Source organism: Homo sapiens, chromosome 8, assembly GCF_000001405.40.
Source record: "Homo sapiens chromosome 8, GRCh38.p14 Primary Assembly".
NCBI classification, from domain to species: domain Eukaryota; kingdom Metazoa; phylum Chordata; class Mammalia; order Primates; family Hominidae; genus Homo; species Homo sapiens.
In genome coordinates this window covers 12,979,948-13,004,245 of record NC_000008.11, presented here as the reverse complement: position 1 = coordinate 13,004,245, position 24,298 = coordinate 12,979,948, and the positions used below count along the sequence as shown (strand labels likewise).

At 41.2% G+C, this 24,298-nt stretch overlaps 1 protein-coding gene and 1 long non-coding RNA gene across 6 annotated transcripts in view; one reads left to right on the top strand and one right to left on the bottom strand.

Annotated features, from left to right (window-relative positions):
• The window catches only part of LOC124901889 (uncharacterized), a 51,754-nt gene extending 32,751 nt beyond the window's left edge, over positions 1-19,003 (top strand). For 4 of the 5 annotated variants that reach the window (XR_007060825.1, XR_007060826.1, XR_007060827.1 and 1 more), the window contains exons 5-6: positions 16,317-16,439; positions 18,867-19,003. This is a non-coding gene — a long non-coding RNA (uncharacterized LOC124901889). Of the gene's footprint in view, positions 1-16,316; positions 16,490-18,866 lie in introns of all 5 variants that reach the window. The other variant, XR_007060829.1, reaches the window with a different exon arrangement.
• The window catches only part of TRMT9B (tRNA methyltransferase 9B (putative)), an 84,105-nt gene that overhangs the window by 25,532 nt on the left and 34,275 nt on the right, over positions 1-24,298 (bottom strand). The window contains exon 2 of the mRNA NM_020844.3: positions 13,215-13,412. The gene's annotated coding sequence lies outside the window, so the exon portion shown is untranslated. The remainder of the gene's footprint in view (positions 1-13,214; positions 13,413-24,298) is intronic.

Genomic DNA, 24,298 nt, shown 5'->3' with positions numbered 1-24,298 from the left:
GCAGTCCTTGGGGCCTACACTGCCTTTCAAGTGTATTTAGTACCCCAGAGCCCTTTAGCCTACAGTGGTGAGGCCTGCCGGAACTCAAGTTCAGACTGCTGGGACCAGCAATTCCCCTCTGGCTAGGGCTGGTTTAAATGCTCCCTCTGTGGGCAGCTGTCAGCTGAGTTCAGCCACATGGCTTTGCTTTCTACTGTGACAGGGCAGCACTGAGTTCGATACGGTGTTTCACAAACGCAGCATTCTCCCTCCCCTAAGCACAGATTCTCTCTGCATGCACATGGCTGCTGCCAGGGAGTTGGAGGAGGGATGGCATGGGCATATCAAGACTGTCTTGCTCACCCTCTTCTGTGCTTCCTTTAGTGATATGAAGTCAAAACCAGGCACTGTGAGCGCTCTCCTGATTTTTGGTTCTTATGTAGGTGCTTTTTTTGTGTGTTAACTCTGGTCCTTGTGGGGAGGGTGGCGGAGTGGGGACACACCATCAGTGGAGCCTTCCATTTAGCCATCTTGCTCCACACTATCCCCCTCAGTTCTTACCTTCAACTTCTTCAGAGGCATTTTATAGCTTGTCCCATTGGGTTCAGCTGGCTTAGGCGGGCACATAAGGCTCTTTCCGATCTGGCCTCACCAGACCTCTTAAGGGTTATTTCTCACCATCTTTCCTCAGCATTAGCCATAATACCCAATGACCCACTGTTTCTCAGCGGTGGCACATTCCCTCTCATCCAGGGGCCTGAACATATGCTATGCTTTACCTGGCTAAATTCTAGTCATTCTTGGAAAAGGCATCATCTCCTCCAGGAAGACTTCCCTGACCTTCCAGGCAGGATAAGGGCAACAGGGAAGGAGTAAGAAAAGCACAAGAGCAGGTCCCGTTTTGGGCTTAACCCTGTAATTATTCTATTCTATTTTGGCATGTGAGTGAGTGGTATCCCAGGGAAGTGGCCAGGGACTCGGGTTGTGGCTTTTACCCATCAGTATGAAAGTATTTTCAATCATTTAAGAACTCATTTGGCCCTACTGATGGCTATCAGCTATTGCATCCCATGCATACCTCTACAGGGATCACATAGTCCTGTAATTGTTGAATTTAGATAAGATATTTTTCTCTGGCAGAGTCTGCTGGAAGACTCTGGAGAACAAGGAGTTGTCTTATTTAATACTGAGTCCCCAGCACTTAGGACACAGCAGACCCCCAGCAAATGATCAAATAAATACACATAGTGAGAATGGAATCTGGCTCTGAGTACAGAGGGTAGTATTGGCTTTGGTTAGCAGAGGGAGTGATCACCCTGAGGAGCTGGGGAAGGGAGGGGACACTACACCTGCAAACTGGCAGATGGGAGTGTAACTGGAGAGAAGATACTGTCCCTGGACAGCCTCTGTCCCCGCACCTCTACCCCTATCCTGGGAAGTGGGAAGTACTTGGGTAAGACGGTGTCTTCCCTGTATGGAGAGAGACTTTGAGACTATGCAAATATTGTTTCTTATTTGCTCACCCACCAGTTTTAGCATCTACCAATGATTCTTGCCCCAATTATTACTACAAGTATCACCGAATGATGATAATATAATTCCATCATTCCTTCCGTTTCAAGGAACAGATATTCAGGATTTACTCTTAAAACGTAATAGGTTGTCTTTAATCAGTATGAACCTACCCACAGCCCCTGCAAAAAATCCTAGCAAACTCCTAACTGAGTATAAATCTAATTTGTGAGGTCTGACTAAACTTCCACCCAAATTGAAACAGCTTATGTTGCACCTTCAACTGAAATTTACGAAGTAAACATATGGCTGGCTATAACTGCCCACACAAGAGAAAAACAGAAACACTGTGTGCTTTTCATTTAAATCAAAATCTCAGTAGATTTTAGTCTATTTACGTTTCCCCTTTCTCAAGGAATCAATCAAGCAATACGTTTTAGAGAACACTAGAACAAGCAAGTTTTTCTTTGTTGCACTTGGAAATGTTAAGTGGTAACCGACATAAACTGGGTTCCTTGCAAATTGCAATTTAAAAATGACTTCAATTTCAAGCTCAGAATTTGTAGTATCTGAACAGCACCCCCAAGATCTTCCCCTAAGTTTTCTATGGCCTCTACTACCATCGGGTAACCTAAAAGATAGTTATTTTTAAGTGTATAAGTAATATAAATCTATTTTGTTTTTCTGATATTTTACAGTTAACTTTATAAACACTGCAGATTTAAATTTTAAATGCTGCGGATTTAAATTTCCTATAATAGTTTCCACATGAATTTTATTTATATAAGCAAATTCCTTGTGAGTTTGAAAGTGTGACTAAGCTAATAAGACTAGTACTAAAACAAGAGCACGGGTTTCCAGATGAAGCGAGAGATAAAGGGTTTGGATTAGCCAGGATTCCTAATCTGTGTGCTGTCAAATTCCAGACCCATAAAATAATCCACATAAAAAGTCAGTACTTAAAGCCTCACATTGTGTCCCTCCTTTGAGATTCAAAATGCACACCAGCACACTATGAGTTTTGAAAAATCTTGGAGAAAAGAGTCCCGGTTGATGTTTCAAAAATCTCGCTTTTTTCTCAGAATTATTGGGTCTATAATACTCTTTCTGTCTTTAAACACCTCTTGTCTTTTTAGGAAATAATATTCTGTAGAAGACACTGTGGAAATGTTAATTTAGTGTTTTCCAATTTAAGAATGTCCCCAAAACAAAGCATTTTTCCTGATCATCCTTTTTCATTCATGTAGTTTTAGTGAAGTATGTTATCTACAAATCATAACTTCTAAGATGGTTTATAAAAAGACTAAAAGTATGAGACGGTAAACGTTTTAACTAGGAAGTCAGAAGGATGCGCATCAGAGTTGCTCATCACTGTCGATCCAAGAGAACCTGCTTCTGAGCCTTGTGCCTCCTCTTTCCAGGGATCCCCGCCTCACTGAGTGGACCCAGGTTGAAAACCAGATCTACAGGGAACCAGTCCATGGGTGAGACTGACCCAGTCTTGAGAATTTGAACTAAAAGACCTGAATAGTCAGATGACCACAAGTGGTTGGTTGTGATCACTTGGAGTCTGTGTTAGGGAGTCCATTTTTAGCCATGCACATATGGATGAAGCAAAAGAATATTTTTCTGCAAAATAAATGTAGCTGTAGGGAAAGAAAAACAAGATGAGAATCCGTGATGCTTCATAACATGGTGGGGGGAAAGGCAGAAAGATTGGGGAAGTCTAGTAGATGATATTCTAGTTCTAGTCCCTATGTAGGCTCTAGATAGGGGCTCAGGGTCACTCATCTCCAAGAAACCTGTTCATTTTACAGTACCAGCCTTGCGTCCTGAGGTACTTCATTTCCTAACCTTGAATCTCAAATCCATACCCTGTTCTAGCCCTGAAATATTCTTCACTTGAACTCACTTCTGTTTCTTACAACCACACCTTTCCCAAGGCAGGGAAACTGCTTTTTTAATTAACATTTTGAAATGATTATTTTACACTTTAAATAACTAGCGTGCAAGGATGCTGACACATAGTGTTGTAATATCTTACCTTTATTGCTACTTTTCAAGCAACTTGTAAAGCTTACGAGGTAACCTTAAAACAAACCCCCAAAATTGAATGCTAGCAATCAAAAGAAATCGTAAATGTGATGACAAAAACATAAATGAGACTGAGTAGACAAAGATACAACTAACTTTGCTGGGGGAAGTTGATGTAGGCACAGAAGAGGAGATCCCAGACATTGAATCATCTTTGTTCCTTCCCTTGCCCCACAAACTCTGCCTATTTCCAGCATTTATTTCTTGGAGGATGGAAGAGAGGACAGAAAGTGACAGAAAACTAACAGGAGAGTTAGTGGCCTGGCATGTTTCCAAAGGGTAGAAAAACAAAGAGAAGGACATTGGCAATTCCTGCTACTAGCAACAGGGTTCTACTGAGAAGTCACAAATGTTTAGTTTTCCTTCCCTGGACATGTGATTAGGCTAACATTTTTCTACCTACTTGAATTCAGATAAACCCTAAGTGACTTGCTATGGCATAAACGTCATCTGAAAAGATCAGGATTACCCCACTGTGTTGCTTTCCAAGTTCCCTATCCCTTATCACTGCAATGAAATGTTCCTTGTCCTGGAGGCATCAGCCTGGGTCCCTCAGAACTCTTGATGGAGAGATATCATGGGTATTCTAATCCCACCCACCAAAAGGAATAAAAAGCTCAGTTCATCATATGAACTGTAGAATATCTAGATCATGAAAAAGTGAAAAGTATACATCAGTTTTTATTAGATGACAACTTGTTACCATATAAGTTCCCCCTTTTTTCTTCATAAAGATTAAAAGTTTTCTTTCTCGTAGAGATATATTATAATAAAATTGAGAGAAAACCGGACAGTTTTGCATCCTACTTTTTTGAACTTAATATTGTGAGCCTAGTGGCAACTTCTACCTACAGTCTTCTCCACCTTCTCAAAGAAATATAACCTCTACACTCCCTAATTCCACAGCACTTGAAATATGTCATGTGCTGTAAAGTATTATAATGGCTTAAGTATTTCTACTAGATTCTGAACTTCTAAATAAGAAACAAGATTTCATACACATCTTTGGTTAGCCCATAATATCTAGCACTGGCCCTAAATGTAATAGGTCTAAATACGTTTAGTGAATTCATGAATGATGGAACTCTAGCCAATTCAACAATATTTCTTTTAAATTTTTAAATCATATTTTAACAGTTTTATTTAGGTATAATTGACATATAACAAACTGCATATATTTAAAGTATATAATTTGATGTTTTTACATACATATGTGTGTGCGTATGCGTGTATGTATGTGTGAAACCATCAAGACACTCAAGATAATGACCATATCCTTCCCCCAATAAATCACCCCTCCCATCTTCTCCCACCCTGAACAATCTTTCTTTTTTTTTTTCTTTTCTTTTTTTTTTTTTTTTTGAGATGGAGTCTCCCTCTGTCACCCAGGCTGGAGTGCGATGGCATGATCTTGGCTCACTGCAACCTCCGCCTCCCAGGTTCAAGCGATTCTCCTGCCTCAGCCTCCTGAGTACCTGGAATTATAGGCACGTACCACCATGCCTGGCTAATTTTTGTATTTTTACTAGAGACGGGGTTTCACCCTGTTGGTTAGGCTGGTCTTGAACATCTGACCTCATGATCCACCTGCCTTGGCCTACCAAAGTGCTAGGATTACAGGCGTGAGCCACTGCGCCCAGCCCCTGAACAATCTTTCTTAATGCCATGTTTCTGGGTAAAGAAACAGGGATAGAGAGGTGGACATTAACATATATATCCAACAGCCACAATTTCAAAGGCAACTCTGAGTATTTGATGTGTTGACAAATAAAAGTAAAAAGGTTTTTTCCCAAGTTTTTCCAGCTTCTTAATGATCACTGGAAAGCTATGCACATATTCACACCCAGAGGCAAATAGTAAAAATATTCTGAGGAACTGAAAAGGCTTCCAGGGAAAAGGTTTTTCTACTGTCTCATCAAGGAGATGACACTCTGTACTTGACCCACAGAAATCTAGTGAACTCTGAGAAAGAAGGCTTTGTTTTGTCCCCAAGAGTGGCTCCTTGTCACCAGGGAGGAGGTGCTATAACTAAATGTCCTCAAGACGGTGCTTTTTATACCTGCTCCTCCTAAGAAGTTAGCACAGAGGCCAGGGTAATAGGCTGTAAGCACTTAGCCCTGTCATCAGAAGGGATTTCTCATTTGTTTGTGATGGGAACTTCTATTACCTCTATCTTGAGTTTCTTTCTGTACCACACTTTTGCCTGTAGTGAGTCCTCTATGTTTTAGCTCTATGGAAAACACACGTGGCTTTAGAACAGTTCTGTCTCCAAATACTGACATACATTTATGAATTAAAACCTCTTTCTATCATACAGAACAATAAAGCTTTTAGAGGAAAATACAGAACATCCTCATGACCTTGGAGTAAGTTAAAATTTCTTACAAAGGGTCATATAAAGTGCTAACCATAAGAGGAAAAATAAAGTAGACTATATTAAAATGAAGACACCATGAAGAGAAGGAAAATTCAACCCAGAGTGTGAAGAAGTATTCGTAGTACATACAGATGACAATTGAGTAGTATCCAGAATATAAACAATTCTTACAAATCACAGAGTAATAGAAGACAACACAATTGAAAAATGGGCGAGAGACTTTAACAGACACTTCATAATGGTCAGGAGACGGGCAGGAAACACACACAAAGGGGCTTAACTTCACTAGTATCAGGGAACCGCAAATTTAAGCCACAATAGGATCCCACCACCTATACAAAAGAATGGGTAAAATGGAAAACACAAAGAATATCTAGTGTTGGTGAAAACATGGAATCGGTGAGTTCTAATACACCACTGGAAGAAATGTGAATTGTTTCAATCTGTTTGGAAAACCGCCTGACAGCAACAACTAAAGCTACACATATGCATAGCCTATGGCCCAGCAACCCCACTCTTAAAAGTATATACATATATCCGAAAGAAATGGACACCCATATTCACCAAAAGACATATGCTAGAATATCCAAAGAAGCACTCTTCGAAGTAGCACAAATCTGGAAACTGCACATGTGACCATCATCAGTAAAATGATCAAATAAATTGTGGTATATTCATAGAATGAAATGCTACCAGGGTAGCATGGAAGTTTGCAACCATATGCAACAATATGGATCAGTCCCTATATTAGTCCATTTCGTGTTGCTGTAAAGGAACTCCTGAGCCTGGGTAATTTATAAGGACAAGCAGTTTGTTTGGTTCATGGTTCTACAGGCTGTACAAGCATGGCACCAGCATCTGCTTGGATCCTGGTGAGGCCTCAGGAAGCTGTTACTCATGGTGGAAGGTGACTGAGGAGCACGTGTGTCACAAGGTCAGAGAGGGAGCAAGAGAGAGGGGAGGAGATGCCAGGCTCCTTTAAACAACCAGCTCTCATGTGAACTGATAGAGCAAGAAGTCACCCATTACCATAAGGAGGATGCCAAGCCATTCCTGAGGGATCCACCACCATAACCCGAACACATCCCAATAGTCCCCACCTCCAACATTGGGGGTCACATTTTAACATGAGATTTGGAGGGGACAAACATCCAAATGATATACATTCCACAAATATCATATTAAAAGGGAAGTCCACAAAAGAATACACACTGTTGGATTCCGTTTATGGAAAGTACAAAAACATGAGCCCATAGATAGATCAAAGAAAATAAAAAATAAAATAAAATAAAATAAAATAAAATAAAATAAAATAAAATAAAATAAAATAAAATAAAATAAAATAAAGAAGGTACAAAAACAGATAAAACAAATGTGGGCCATTAGAAGTGGGATAGAGGCTGCCTGGGGTAGCAGCTGGCAGGGAGCACTGGGGGTTGGGAGGTGGTCCTGGGGTGCTGATAATGTTCTGTTTCTTGATCTGGGCTCGGGTTACATGAGGGCGCTCAGGTTATGAAAAATTCATTCATTTATTTGTACATTTATGATATATGCACTTTGGTCCATGTATATTTCAATTAAAACCCCCTTTTGCTTTGAGGCAGTTGCCTTGTTATGTACTTTAAACCATGTTAGAACTTAAAACTGAGCAGAGTATCCTCTCTCATCTGTGTTCTGCCATTCCCATGAGGGATGAATGCCATCCAGTCAGTGCCTTCTGGGCAGCTAGAAATTGGAGATCACTGGGTTCAAAGATCAGGTGAAATGTCAAAGCAGTATCCCCATTCAATAAGATTATGTCATAGTATATACAGAAAGTGCTGAGAGAGTTTTGCCTCAGAAGAAATCTAACTGAAGAAATAAGTAACTTAAATGAGATAATGTCTAATGCCAGATTATCCAGTAACCAGCCAAGAATAGAGTCCATTTGCTCCCAGTAAAGAAGTTGTTTCAGTTAGGGCACCAGGTAAGTGACTCATCAGTATGATGAGAGGAAGGAAATTCATTTTACCTACCTTATATTTGTGATCTTATTACACATTGAATAGCTTTACTCAATAACTCAAAGTGAAATTAAGGATGAATTGTGCCAGCCACAGCTTCCAAGTAGCACAACTATAATAATGTATGAGGATTACTGATCTCAATAAATAGATGGGAACATAAATTGTGTAAAGGTCCAGGAAGGAGGCTACATGATCCTCAGCTTGTAGCAGCAGGTGGTTGCTATTGCTGCTTACCTTCATTCTCTAATTATCTTGCTGTTTCATGGTTACTGTTACTCGTTAAGACAATTTTCAGTTATTTCAGTACCTTATGAAAAATGTATGGACAAACTAGTGTCCTCATTTATTACTCTCATGTGGATCATCTGTGATATTTAGTCTACTGTTTATGTGGCTCTTTATATGTGCAGTTATTGGAAAAATCTGCTGAGCTTTTTAGTCTGCAGAGAATAAAATCTTTCTGAAAAATGTTATAATATTTAAAAGCCTTAGAACCTAAGACAACAATGACTTGGGTCTAATTGGTATCTGGATGGTTAATCTCCCGAAACACACACAACTAATAGATGAATCAGTGTTCCCTCCCAAAAAACCAAACCCAAAACAAAAACAACACAAAGAAGACAAACATGTGTATCAGTAAAGTTTTCTTTATAAAAATCAAGAAAAGGATCAAGACAGAATGACAAGGAAAAGAAGAAAGAAACCAGGGGAAGTGCAAGGAGAAGAAACGGGCAATTAATATATGTATTGAGTGATTATCATGCGGTTCATATATGTTAGTGCAAAGAAAGCCAGAAATGGAGAATAAGGAAAGCAGACAAAGAGCTAAGAGCTATGACTTAATATGTATAAAGAACAGAGAGAAGAAAAGGTAAAAAATATATAACTTTGTATAAATTTGTTTATATCTACTCCAATTAGCACTCAAACTAGATTTATATAATCAAATATCAATTGCTCATTTAACTTTTTACACATTTATCACTAATGGAAATTACATTTTGACTGCTTCTAACTGCAGCTGAAACTTGCTTGAAGCTTTGTGTTAAGAAACTAAAACCCAAAATAATGCCAAAGGTTAACAATTCTTGCTCTAGAAAGTCTAGAGTTGTATTGTGTTGCAGTTTATTATGTTCATTTCCACAGTATTAGGAAATTATTAAAAAGGGAAATTTTCAGTGAGCCCTCTGTGTGTGTAAACTGACACATCTTCAAACGAATGCATGAGAAGTCGGGAGCTGCGCCTTGGAACTCAGCCTGGAAGCGTAGGCAAGATTTGAAAATGTTCTTTTCAGCCAGGCGCGGGGGCTCACGCCTGTAATTCCAGCACTTTGGGAGGCCGAGGCGAGTGGATCACCTGAGGTCGAGAGTTCGAGACCAGCCTGACCAACATGGAGAAACCCCGTCTCTACTAAAAATACAAACATTAGCCGGGCATGGTGGTGCATGCCTATAATCCTAGGTACTCAGGAGGCTGAGGCAGGAGAATTGCTTGAACCCGAAAGGCGGAGGTTGCAGTGAGCTGAGATCGTGCCACTGCACTCCAGCCGGGGCAACAGGAGCGAAACTCCGTCTCAAATAAAAAAAAAGAAAATGTTCGTTTCTTGTCGTTTAAATTGCACTTGCAAGAAGAATCAATTCAAGGGTTCCCCAAAGGTGGACAAGCCACTCTGCTTTTAAGGTCCTCTTAGCCTGCTTTTCAGGGAAAGTAGCAAACTTGAGAATTCCAACATAGCTAAGACGCATAAATTAAGTCACCTCCGGGCACTTGATGTGTTTGAAGAGCTGAGCGCTACCGAAGGGAAGAAAGGAAAGGGAGAAAGAGAAAAGACACTTAATCCATGCAGCTAGAGGCATGCAGGCATGAAGGTATTGCCTAGTCAATACCTTCTAGTCAATATCAGTATCTTCTTAAAAAATAAAAAAGTTTTATTTTTTTCAAAACATTAGTTTGAAAGAGCAGAGGGTCCATCAGAGGTAGCAGTGAAAAGTAATTTTGGAGATCTAAGATTCTGGGGAATACCTGATCCGTTCCCAAGCCTGAGACCATGCACACACATATGACCACTATTTGCAGTCGCAGACGTTTTAGAGATTAAAATACTTTTAAAAGCTTCTGTTTATCCTCTGTTCCTTTGGGGAACTGCACCTCTCTCAGACTCCAAGTGTCACTGGGGCCTGCCAGGCACATTGACTGTGGCAGTGGGGTGGGCACATGATCCAGTCTCGGACAGTTATTCTCCCTCGCCCAGGAAATTGACAAGAGGTTGGAGCAGAACTGCTGATGGCTCAGCCCTGAAGAAAAGATCCTCATGCCTCATCCCAAGTTGTAACTTTCCCGAGGTTTAGTTTGCAGCAGTTCCTTTTATTGTGCCAGCTACTTAGGCACTCCCAACAAATCCTCCTTCTTGCTTTAGTTGATTTTGACATGTATAGCCAAAGGACTAAAGTATTACAAACTTGAATGCTTCTTCACAATCACAGCATGTACCCCAGTGGGGGCCACAGTGAAAGAGATGTACCATGGCCACTAGGGTTGCCAACAGGACTCATCACAAATGGATGAAGGGACTCTGACTGGAGCAAAAGAATCTGCTGAGATAGCAATGTGCTATTGGAATGCCAGCCTAGAAGATCAAAGTTGTCACAGTGCTGGCACCTTTGCCCCCTTTCTGTCTTTCTGTTTGTACTGCCATCCCCTAGTATCTCAGCTAGTCTAACTGGTCTGTCTGTTCCTCTTGCTGTCTCTGCACCCCCCACATCTATCCCCTCTAATATATTCATAAAGATGGGAGTTGGCAACACAACCTTCTCTGTTAATGTCCACTTGGCTGGAGACACAATACATTCTTACAGTAAAAGGTAACTGCGTAAACCACATAGCACATGTGCCATTCCTGGTTTGCTGGCTACAATTCATGATTTTCCTTCTATGAATTCAAGGAAAGTTGGTTAGAATCTCTATTTCATGGCAGTGCAGGGTTAATTTTTCTATACAACCTCATTGGATAATATTCACTCCTTCTTGAAAGCCCTTCAGGGGACCTCTGCTGCCTACGGGATAGCACCTGCACTCCTCAGTCTGTCACGAAAACCCTCCCTGACCTGGTCCAGTCCACTTTGCAGTCTTATATCGTGCAACGACAGTACCTCAGACTCTCAGCTGTATCCACACAAATCTACTCACTTTTTCCCGAGAGGGACTTGCTCAGGACCTTATTCAGGTCTTTGCTGAAGCCAGCAGTCTATTCTCTCTCACCGGCAATGCTCTCCTATCACTTCCTCCTGCCAAAATCTACTGGTCTGCAAAGTCTAGCACAGTTTCTTCCTCCTGCATAAAGAATTTATGGGTAACTACAGATAAAAATCATCCATTCCAGGACTTATTTTTAGTTTTTACTTTTTGGAGATGGAGTCTTGCTCTGTCTCCTAGGCTGGAGTGTAGTGGCATGATCTCTGCTCACTGCAACCTCTGCCTCCCAGATTCAAGCAATTCTCCTGCCTCAGCCTCCTGAGTAGCTGGGACCACAAGACCACAGGTGCATGCCGTCACACCTGGCTTTTTTTTTTCTTTTTTTGTATTTTAGTAGAGATGGGTTTTCACCATGTTGCCCAGGCTGGTCTCAAACTCCTGAGCTCAGGTGATCTGCCTAACCCGGCCTCTCAAAATGCTGGGATTGCAAGCATGAGCCACTGTGCCCAGTCAATGATGCTGTTTAAATGAAGTTCTCCTGAGCTTCATGACCATCTAAGTTTGTTGTCCTTCAGATACCACAGAGACAATATGCCCAAGTCTAGAACCTACACCTCCTATCACATTTCCTCTGATGGTGAACCACTGCACTGTCTACCCAGGCCTCCCAAAGAGCTAGAATTACAGGTGTGAGCCACTGTGCCCGGCCCCAGGACTTCTATACACTGCAAATTTATTATCTCTATCACTCTTAGGACATTTTTCCGGATACTGTCATGAACTCTCAACTCTGTATATGTTCCCAAATAGATTATAAGTTTTTGGACGGCAGAGATGGAAATGTGATGTTTTTATATATCTCTATCTATGTCTCATCTGTACATCATAGAGCCTAGGATAGTGCAGAACACAGAGCATCACTCAATAATTAATTGTAGATCCAATGAATCAAGGAGCTGTTTCTTAGCTCCCTCTGCAAAACAACAATACTTTACTCTGTACAAGCTGGTCCTTGACTCTTTGGTTATAAATCCTAAAGAGCCAGCTGTGAGTCAATGGGCACTTGGAGGAAAGCAAGACTGAGCTTTTCCAGTTTTATTTTGTGTTTTCTGATTTGCTGCCCCAGAGGTCTGTTGTTGTTGTTGTTTTTGAGACAGAGTCTTGCTCTTGTTGCCCAGCCTGGAGTGCAGTGGCGCAATCTCGGCTTGCTGCAACCTCCACCTCCTGGGTTCAAGCAATTCTCCTAACCCAGCCTCCCGAGTAGTTGGGATTACAGGCGCCCACCACCACGCCTGGCTAAGTTGTGCATTTTTAGTAGAGACGGGGTCACCATGTTGGCCAGGCTGGTCTTGAACTCCGGACCTCAGGTGATCCACCTGCCTCGGCCTCCCAAAGTGCTGGAATTACAGGCATGAGCCAATGCGCCCAGCCAGGTCTGTATTATAGGTACAATCTAGGCATACGATGGTCACTTTTTCATAACTAAAAAGAAATACAAATATTGGAAATGGCTCTCCTATTATAAATGCCACAGAAGACACAGAATTAAAAAAGAGAGAGCATAAAATTCTGCTTTAAATTTCAAAGACACACTTAAACTACAATTCTAAAGTGAAAATGCAAGTTGGTCCGAACAGTTAAAAGACAACTTACATTATAAAAAAGACCTAATTACAAAATGCATAGCTTTTTCATTTTACTTTTTAATACATGCAACTTCACACTTAACATCTATATATCATTTCCAAGTACAAATGATATTGTAAACTTTTGTGTGATAAAAATCTCATTTAAAAATATGTTTAAGTCCTACAAAAGTATTTTGCTTTCTAAAAATGCTAAATATGTTCTTATAATTTTTACATACCCTGTACAACTACTTTCAAATACTGTTTTCCACCTCATGCAAAAATAAATTCCAACTTACTTTATATCACATTGTCATAAATTTAAAATTATAGGGATTGGGAAGAATTAGGTTCACTAAATATGCACATTGCTAAAAACACCTCATGGTATGTGAGTTGCAGAAGCGCTGAAAGCTACTAACCTGAGTCATCCTGTGATTACAGGAAAATTACCTCTTGTCTTTGTGAATCACGGCAGTCTCCACCTCCAGAGAGTGACAGTTGCTTCTCATAACTTTCTCAATGTGTAACGTAAATGAAAACTTGTAGGAGTGAAATGAAATAGTGCGGTCCTTCTCATGATAAACCTCTTGTGTGAGTCTCTGAAGGAAGCACAGGCCCTATCAGGAAGAAAACAAATACTAAATGTCATTTCACATGGTATGTATATGGAGCCAGCTACAGCCCAGGCTGACTTCCTGACCTATGCATAAATTACCCAGCCAAGTAGGGATTAGAAAGAATTGTTAATATGTGGAGTGTGCCAGAATTATAAGAGCAGTTCAAATCAATAGGCCAATAAATCAATTCCTAAGCTTTCTATAAAACATACAATACTTTCTCCTAAAATTAAATTGAATGATTTCATCTTGTTCCTGGGAAAATTGCTAACATTGAGAGTCATCTCTGATTCCAGGGGCTTAATTAAATAAATACTACCTAAGACAATATTACTAAATTGTACTAAATCATTCCAGTACAATTGGACTGCTCAATATTTTCCATATTACTAGCTACTTTCTTGTCACTTTGATAAGTACTCGTAGTTATTCATCATTGTTCACATTTTTCTTCTTCATAAGAGTTTGTTATGAAACCCATCAAAAGGCTTTTAGTTATTAAAAAAATAATGCACCAAAAACCACTTTGTAATATAGAGGTCTTGTGATATACAATGAGATCTCGAGAGATGCCTGATATGATAGGAAAAGCCCATCCTATAACACCTTGGACCCTAATTGCTTGTCTGCAAGTGGGGTGAATGGACCATAATCTAAGTCCCAGCCTGCAACCATTTTTCCTAGTTTCCTTATCACTTGTGTGTTCACCACACTGCCACAAACTGTACTTCTTATTACACCCAGTGATTCTCACGATGGCAGGGTGCGTGTGGGTTTTCTACTCAGAGATGCGTGTGCCTTCCCCCAACATTCCCCTACACCAGCCCAACCCTAGTCCTGGCCCCTATTTAAGAATCAATGATCTGGATGTGCTTTGGAAAACTTCTCTCTAGTCTTCAGAACTTGCCTATAGATTTTAACCCCAGCTACATCTCACTCATATGTAGGCACATGATCTGTGCCATTGAGAGCCACAGAAGCTAACTTTTTAGAAGTGCGTTTAAGAAGCATTTTGAAAGAGCTACCAAAGCATCTTATCTTTCCTCATGCAATTTTAGAGCCTACCTTAATTATAAGAGAGATGATGTTTGCTAACTGAGTCCCTATGACAGGGTAAAGCTAAAGATTCTCTGTTCGGACTTACCCTGCCAGGCTCTGACCTGGGCAGTCGACTGTCATCAGACAATGTGGTTGTCTATGCGCCTTTCCTTCAGGCATTTGTGCCTAAATGTGTTAGACCCCTCAGATAAGCCACCAAAGGCAAAGTCTTCAACGCCCCCATCAGTAAGAGTACCAATGAGAAGAGGAATTGTAGCTAGTGTAGAAGTAGGAGGCATATGTGTGCTACCTGGGCAGGAGGCTTGTCTATACGCCCAAATCAGGCACCCAAAACACCTACAAATATGACTGATTTTGCTTCTTTTTCCTAAATTAGGATCCAAATTTGCCTCTGTCTAAAGTGCATGAATCATATCACCTTCTCCAAGAAGTTACTGGGCAAAGATAGAATGGGGTCGTATATATCTAAAAGGAGTTGAATTCCAATTGAGACTTTTTATTAAATCAGTCATATTTAGTATTGAAAGAAACACATTTCTTCTTCTCTTCTCTTTGACTAAACAGGAGGCCATCTTCTAGGGCAAGGTCTGTACCTTAAACCTTCTGAAATAAGCCATGCGTGTATTTTCCTGGGAAGAGGGTCAGCACCACAAACCATGGCTCAGGGGCAAAGCCAGATTTTTGAAAAAAAAAAAATTTCTGTATTAAATTAAAAATACACATTCATCTTTTCAACAAATATTAACTGAATCTCTGGCAGATGTAAGGCACTAGGGATACAGATAAAAGAGCTCTCACCCCATTCAGGACCCCAGAATTTAATATCTGAAGCATACAAATAAACAGAAAATTAAAGTGCAGTAGAACTTTACTTCTGGGATGGATACATCCTGAGCTAATGTGATTCCCCAAACTCATGCCTTGCCTTATTTAATACCAAGAATCAAGATTATTTGATATAATCATCTAAAAAATAATAGAATTGATATGGTTTGGCTGTGTCCCCACCCAAATCTCATCTTGAATTGTAGTTCCCATCATCCCCATGTATTGTGGGAGGGAACTGGTGGGAGGTAATTGAATCATAGGGGTGGTTACCCTCATGCTGTTCTCATGATAGTGAGTGAGTTCTCAAGAGATCTGATGGTTTTATAAGGGAATTTTTTCCCTTTTGCTTGGCACTTCTCCTTGCTGCCGCCATGTGAAGAAGGATATGTTTGCTTCCCCTTCCACTCATGATTGTAAGTTTCCTGAGGCCTCCCCAGCCATGCTGAACTGTGAGTCAATTAAACCTCTTTCCTTTATAAATTACACAGTCTCGGGTATGTCTTTATTAGTAGCCTGAGAATGGACTAATACTGTAATCATATATTCATACAATCATTATAAAATAATCATTTTGTGTTATTGCAAATTATTAATTATCATGGATCTAAACAGTGTTCAAAATCACAATGTCAATACCCCTTATCTGGTGTGAAGAATGTTATGATGTGGGTGTGCGCCGGTGCTACAGGAGCACATAGGCGACTGATCCAGCCTGGAGTGGGAAGGGGGAGTGAAGGCTCCCTCAAGGGGCTGACACCTAAACGGAAGTTCAAAAGATGAGTGGGGTCAGCCAGGTGAAAAGGAGAAGTGGGTGATTCCAGGCATATGAAACAGCATATGCAAAAAGAAAGACACAAAGCCAATAAATGAATAACAACAGCAATAACAGCAACACACGCACAGAAATATATACAGATGGTCCCAGACTTATGAAGGTTTGACTTTATGATGGTGTCAAAGTGATATACATTCAGTAATAATTGTGCTTTGAATTTTGAATTGTGATCTTTTTTCCAGGCTAATGACATGCGGTGGGATCCTCTCTCACAATGCTGGGAAGCCACAGAGAGCCACATCTCCCAGTTGGCACACCATCATGAATGTAGACAACTGAGATTTGACAGTGTTCCTTTTTGCCAGGTGATTTTGCCCAGCTGTCGGCTAATGTAAATGTTCTGAGCACGTTTAAGGTAGGCTAGGGAGGTAAGCTATGATGTTCTGTAGGTTAGTTGTATTAAATGCATTTTTTTTTTTGAGACAGGGTATTCATTCTGTTGCCCAGGCTGGAGTGCAGTGGCACCATCGTAGCTCACTGCAGCCTTGACCTCCCAGGTGCAAATGATCCTCCTGCTTCAGCCCCTCCCAAGTATCTGGGACTATAGGCGTGTACCACCATATCCTGCTAATTTTGTGATTTTTGTAGAAATGGGGTCTCCCTACGTTCCCCAGGCTGGTCTCAAACTCCTGGGCTCAAACAGTCCTCCTGCCTTGGCCTCCTGAAATGCTGGGATTACAGAAGTCAGCCACTGCACCAGGCCTAAGTGCATTTTTGACTTATAATATTTTCAACTTATAATGGGTTTATTGGGATGTAACCCCATCATAAGTGGAGAAGTGTCTGTATTAATTATTTGCTATGGGCCAGGCCGTGTTGTAAGCATTTAACACATTGACTCTTCCCAATAACTATATAATATAGGAACTACTAGTTCTCCCATTTTACAGATAAGAAGGAGGACCTAAGTGACTTTCCCAAAGTTACATAGCTAGTAAGTGGCAGAGCCAGGATTTGAACCCAGATAATTTGACCCTAGCGTTCGCACTCTTAACTATACAGATGGCGAGGAGAAAGGGAGGCAAGGAAGCAAATGGCGAAATAAGAGGCTGGAAGAGAGGGCAGGAGTCAGATCATATAGGACCTAGTCCAGCTTCTGAACATCATGGGGAACCACTGAATTATTTCAACAAGAAGAATGACAAAAGTTGATCTCGGTTTTAGAAATTGCCTCTGGCAGTAGTGTAGACTGGCACTTCATGGATGGGTCCACAATGAAGGCAGAGAAAGAACTTGGTTAAATATGTTAGCAAAGAATGATATTAATAATGCTTAGAAAGGATTGAAATGAAGGGATATTAAGGAGAAAGAACCAAATTAATAGGACCTGGTGACTCATGCAGAGTTAAGGCAGGGAACATGCTGAAGATGACGCTCTGATAATAAGCCTGATACAGTACAATGTACCACTACTATCCTAAAATAAGGAAGAAGAAAGAATACAAGGTAAAGCAAAGGAAACTTTAGTAATGGCCATATATAAACTCTAATAAACCCTTCCTTCGTAATGCATGTGAATACATCCAAATTAGTTTACTTAAGATGTATGCATTTGCGGGAAATAGGATATAAGAAGGTCTAGATACTGGTAACTGATTTTGAAATGTCATAATGGTCAGCAATGCCTTGTATTTTATATTACAGTATGAGCTGTGTGAACATATGTTCCATAATTGACGGCAGCACTTTCTAGACAGGGACAATATGTCTTATGATCTCTGCATCTTTTTTGGTATTTTTACAATGTTCAATGAATGTCTACTGTACAAACACGTGGAGAACAGAAAAGAAGGATGGCCCCAGGGAAGACAGTACAGTGGTTCACCATCAGAGGAAATGCGACAGGAGGTGTAGGTTTTAGACTTGGGCATATTGTCTCTGTGGTAACTGAAGGACAACAAACTCAGATGGTCATGAATCTCAGGAGAACTTCATTTAAACATCATCATTGACTGGGCACAGTGGCTCATGCCTGTAATCCCAGCACTTTGGGAGGCCGGGATAGGCAGATCACCTGAGGTCAGGAGTTTAAGACCAGCTTGTCCAGCATGGTGAAACCCCGTCTCTACTAAAATTACAAAAATTAGCCAGGTGCGGTAACACCTGCCTGTAATCCCAGCTGCTCAGGAGGCTGAGGCAGGAGAATCCATTTGAACCTGGGAGGCGGAGGTTGCAGTGAGCCAAGATCACGCCACAGCACTCAAGCCTGGGTGACAGAGTGAGACTCCATCTCAAAAAAATTAAATTAAAAAAAAATCATTAATCTAGTACATAGCCCATTAGGGACATTAGAGTTTATTAAATCAAAAGAGAATACACACAGTAAGAAAATAAATGAAACTAGAGGAGGAAGGATCACAAACTCTTAAGTCCCATAGATGTCAGCATTAGAGGAGAGGCTAGCCATGTATGATAGAGCTCTACTATAACTAAATTTAATTTGAGAAATGTTGACTAAGCACCTACTAGGCTACAGATGCTTTGGTAGCTGTAAGACAAACAAAGATGGGTGGTCCGTACTGTCTCAAAGCTACAGACTAATTCAGGAGTAACACAGAATAAGAGCTGAATAAGCACAGCCTGGGGTAAGCATATGACGGGTGGATACAAAAGTATAGACAGCAAGCAATATTAGCTTTTCTAGATTGGGGTGACACTTTGACTCTGGTTCCAACTCCCTTTGAATAATGAGCCAGTAAAACAGCTTCATAAATATTTTCTCCTCTACACAGAACTCCTTAATGATACACCAGAGAGATTACAATGGAAATGCTAAGGAAAGGAACAGCTGGCATCTCTCCTTGAAATCCTATGAGCAGAACAAATTCAGAGCTTCAAAACAACAAAATATGTTGCACCGGGAGAATACGATCCTCTCTGGAATCCCATCAGGGACTAGAAAGTTACCCCCGATAAACATGATGAAAGAAAGTGAACAACGTGAGGGGCGTTTATCTTAGCGGAAAGAGATCAAATACTCCCTGAGAGCACTTTGTTTTCCTCGAAAAATGTCAAGGAGTATGTGTCTAAATGAACTGTTCACTAAGAGTAGGATATTAGCCCCCAAAACGAAATAGGGGAAATGAACATGATAACATCTGGGTGGGGAGTGTGAGAGAGAGAGTGTGTGTGTGTGTGTGTGTGTGTGTGTGTGTGTATGTTGAGGGAGGTGGTTGTAAGAGGATAATGCAAAAATTCGGAAAAGAGAGCTCACAGCTTAATATTGGTCATGAGATCAGTTACCAAAGGCCATCCCTCCACAGACAATGACAAGGCCATGTTCATTGCAACTATATTACAATTCATTTTGGTTTTGTAGATGAGAGAATGTCAGAAATGAACAAGAAAATCAAACACGAGAGTGAAGAAAAATGAAAATATAGCGCCCGGCTTCCCCTAGGCATTGGCTGCTGGTGTCAGTTTGACAAAAACAGCTGTCAGTTTTGTTGAGATAAAAGCAATAGGTCCCCCAAAATAGTACCGTGGAAGAAGACTGCTCTGCTATTACATACGAAAGGCACTTCCAGAGAAGGAGTGGAATGTGTATTACTCATCCTCTTTTCTCCCAGGAAAGAAGGTTTAGGCAGGATGGAGGACAAGTAATCCCAAAGTCATTTTACTGAAAAAAGGTTGCTCAAGAAAGAGCTTTTAAATGAAGATCATGGTTTTCAACCATAAAGCTGTAAGTCACCTAATGATTTTTCTAAGGCTGAATTAAGGGGAAACGTGACGATGAATTATATATTAGTGTAACACAATTGCTCCCAAAGAGGCACTCATGGGGTTATTACAGTTTGAGTATCCCTTAACCAAAGTGCTTGGGACCAGAAGTGTTTCGTATTTTGGATTTTAGAAGATTTGCATAGACAGAATGACATTTCTTAGAGATGAGACCCAAGTCTAAACACAAAATTCATGGTTGTTTCATAATACCTTATATACATAGCCTGAGGGTAATTTTATACCACATTTTTAATAATTTTGGGCATGAAGCAAAGTTTGTGTACACTGAACCATCAGAAAGAAAAGGCGTCACTATCTCAGCCACCCATGTGGACAATCTGCGGTTGTGTGACCTCACCATCATTCCTGACTCTAAATTTATATGCTTCTGATAAGCAATCATGTTCATATACTTATTCACACTTAAATACTTAACAGTAAAAATAGGACATATCATTAATACAGTTTTTTAAAAAAAGTGTTCAGGGTAGCCAAGCAGCACAACATGAGATACCTGTGTCAGCTGTTAACAGCAACAAATAAGAGCACGCTTTCTGTCTCCATCTGCAATGCTATGTTTTGATTAAAAGGCTACTGTACCCTGTATTTTATTTTTTGAGGCAAGAAGCAACATCAGAAGCAGTTGAGGGACCAAAAAGAGGGGCCTCTAGGGATGAGGAGACATTCTGCTAGAAGGGTTTTATTATTATTATTATTTTGAGACGGCGTCTTGCTCTGTTGCCCAGGCTAGAGTGCAGTGACACCATCTTGGCTCACTGCTACCTCCGCCTCCTGGATTCAAGCGATTGTCCTGCCTCAGCCTCCTGAGCAGCTGAGATTACAGGCACCTGCCACAACGCCCAGCTAATTTCTGTAATTTTAGTAGAGATGGGATTTCACCGTGTTGGTCAGGCTGGTCTCAAACTCCTGACCTCAGGTAATCTGCCCTCCTCAGCCACCCAAAGTGCTGGGATTACAGGCATGAGCCACTGTACCCAGCCTGCTAGATGGCTTTTAAAAAATATTTCCTCCAGAGTCACCTGCCTCATTAAGAATTTTTTTTTTGTCTTGGAACTCTCTCTTTGATTTTATAAACTGACATGATTTCTTGTGTTATGGCTGCACACTGCTCTAGTCCTTAAATAAGCCCATTGCACCTTTTCACCATGCCATCGACAGGCACTTTTTCTGCAGTGTTGACAATGTCATCTTCATCATCACTACTACATAAATGCTTCCTTTTTCTCATCAGTGTTACTCATAGGGGTATCTGCAGGTCTTTTTGACATTTTCAACAATATCTTTACACCACAGAGCAGGAAATAAGCAAAAGACCACACTGAGTAATGCACGCAGCTCTTGGCCCCATGTGGGGCATCGTGGGGAACCCGTGGTTGGTGCCTGAACACATGCCATTTTATTACACTTTGTTAGTGTGCTCGCATGGGGAAATCTGGGCATGCGAGGAAAACATAGATAGCATCCGAAGAGGAGTGGAAGGGCCTTTTGTCCCTTGGAGAAGCTGAAGAAATCATGTGTCCTGTGGCTGCATTTTGACTGCAACCAGTCACATGAAGTCAGGCGTGACTTCCACTTGTGGCATCATGTGGTCACTCAAAAAGTTTCAAATTTTTGAGCATTTCAGATTTGGAATTTCAGACTAGAAATATCCAACCTGTACTAAAAAAATAAACTAAATAAACTCTGATTATGATTTTTTTTTTTTTGAGATGGAGTCTCTCTCTGTTGCCCAGGCTGGAGTGCAGTGGCGCAATCTCGGCTCACTGCAACCTCCGCCTCTTGGGTTCCAGTGATGTTCCCATCTCAGCCTCCCGAGTAGCTGCGATTACAAGCATGTGCCACTGCACCCAGCTAATTTTTGTATTTTTAGTAGAGACGGGGTTTCACTATGTTGTCCAGGCTTGTCTTGAACTCCTGACCTCAAGTGATCCACCTACCTCGGCATCCCAAACTGCTGGGATTACAGGCATAAGCCACCGTGTCTGACCCTGATTATGTATTTGAATTTCAGACAGAGTCCATGTGTATGCAAAGCATAGTAGAATCTGGTCTGTCAAGGATCTCATGGTGTGGATTCCAGCTCCATCATATCCCTCTTGTGAGTAACCCTGCCCCTTCCCTATCACCTCTGCCTGGGGTTAAGTCCTCACCTGGTCCAGGATTTCCCACTCTTGCAGATTGCACAGTCCAGAAAAATCTCAAAGGGACAACTGGAGAACTAGAGGGACCAGCTGATTTTTTACTTGAGGGCAAAGACATGGAGAGGTATGTAGACAGATAGATATAATAGATAGATACAGATATTGTAAAGCCTACTATTTACTATTACCATAATTTCACAGACAAATGGACAATTTTACCCTCATAAAATTTAGGAGGTCATGATCTCAAACCAAAGGAGAGTCCTTTGAAATTGAACAGAATTTATGAAGAACTGACTATATCATGTTTAATTTTCTCATTTCACTACAGATTGATGAAAACGTTGTCACCTCCCAACACTGGCTTTGGGAGGCTGAGGCAGGATGATCACTTGAGGCCAGATGTTTGAGATAAGCCTGGGCAACTTAATGAGATTCTTGTCTCTAAAAAGATTGAAAAATAGCCGGGTGTGGTGGTGCATGCCTATAGTCCTAGCTACTCAGGAGACTGAGGCTGGATGATCACTTGAGCCCAGGAGGTTGAGGCTGCAGTGAGGTATGATCACAACACTGCACTCCAGCCTGGGCAATAGAGCGAGACCCTGTTTCTATCAAAAAAAAATAAATAAATAAATAAAAGAAAGAAAGGAAAGCAAAAATAAACCAATACTGGAATAAAGAACTGAGTTTGGGGAAACAGATAATATAATGGTCTCCAATCTCCAATGCTCCGTGCCGTCACACTCAAGTCCTAAAAGTCACCCTCTGTGTCACCATTGTATCACTCTCCAGCTCTAAAGAGAAAGTCCAAATACCTGAGCATGTCGCCTAAAGCCCCCCACAATCTGATCTGCATCTTTGCTCATGATGTCCCACCCCCAATTCACACCCTGTGCTCTGCCAGCACCATTTGAAGTAGCCAGCCAATGACTTCTCTGTGACAACGAGAGGAGGACTTTGCACCAGAGTGTAAATCAACGTGTTGTTTCTATCATGGAGAGAAACTCTTGCAGTGATCAAAGAAATCAAAGAAAAAGGAATCCGCAGAGTGACTTCGTGGATTTATATTCCAGCACAAGCTCCTTTTCTAAATCAATGTGTTGCTTCTATTATGGAGAAACTCTTGCAGTGATCAAAGAAACAAACAAACAAAAAAACAAAACCACCAGAAAAGGAATCCGCATAGTGACTTCGTGGATTTATATTCCAGCACAAGCTCCTTATCTAAATCAATGTGTTGCTTCTATCATGGAGAAACTCTTGCAGTGATCAAAGAAACACAAACAAACAAACAAAAAAGAATTCGCATAGTGACTTCCTGGATTTATATTTCAGCACAAGCTCCTTATCTAGTGCCACTGCTCTTCCATCCGGGCTTGAAATTCCCTGAATGCTTTGGACATTTGATACCTTCATGCTTTTTGCTTGTCTGTTCCCTCTCTGCCTGGAATTTCCTTTCTCCTCTACACCACCTAACACACCCAAGTATCTTCGAAGGTTCAGCTTGTGTCACGAAGCTTTTCTTGTGTCCCATGTAGGATTCGTCTCCTGTGCTCTCTTTTATCTCTCCTGTGTTATATGGTAGGCTTTGGCACTAGTGCTGTGATTGCAATCTTGGTTTATTTTGGCTTTAATATCTCACGGCATTTTCTACTCAACTCTGTAGTGTGCAGTGCTGGGGGGATGCAGAACCTTGCCTCTCACCATAGACACGGGAGCAGGGAGCTTTGCCCACTCCCCGTCCCGTGAGATGGTGTAGTCACACCATGACATGCCCACATCCTAACCTCTGGAACCTGGGAATATGACCTTATTTGGAAAAAAGGGTTTATAGATGTAATTAAAGATTTCAAGGCGAGATCATCCTGGGTTATCTGGGTGGACCCTACATGCCAATGACAAGTGTCCTTATAATAGACAGGAGAGAAGACAGAAGGCAGAAATTGGAGTTACACTAGCACAAGCCAAAGAGTGCCTGGGCCCACCGGGAATTGGAGGAGGCAAGGAGGAATTTTCCTGTGGAGAATTCAAAGGGAGCAGGCCCCGCTGACAACTTCATTTAGGACGTCTGGCCTCCTGAGCTGCAAGAGAATACATTTCTGTTGTTTTCAGCCACCCACTTTGTGGTCATTTATTACAGCAGCCCCGGGAAACAAATATAGATGCCTGGCCCTATGACCTAGATTCAATCAACCATGAACTCTCATCCTGGACTCTGAATGCAAAACGGGTCATTCAAAGGCACAGGCGGGGTGACAGTGTCCTGGCCACATCACTCT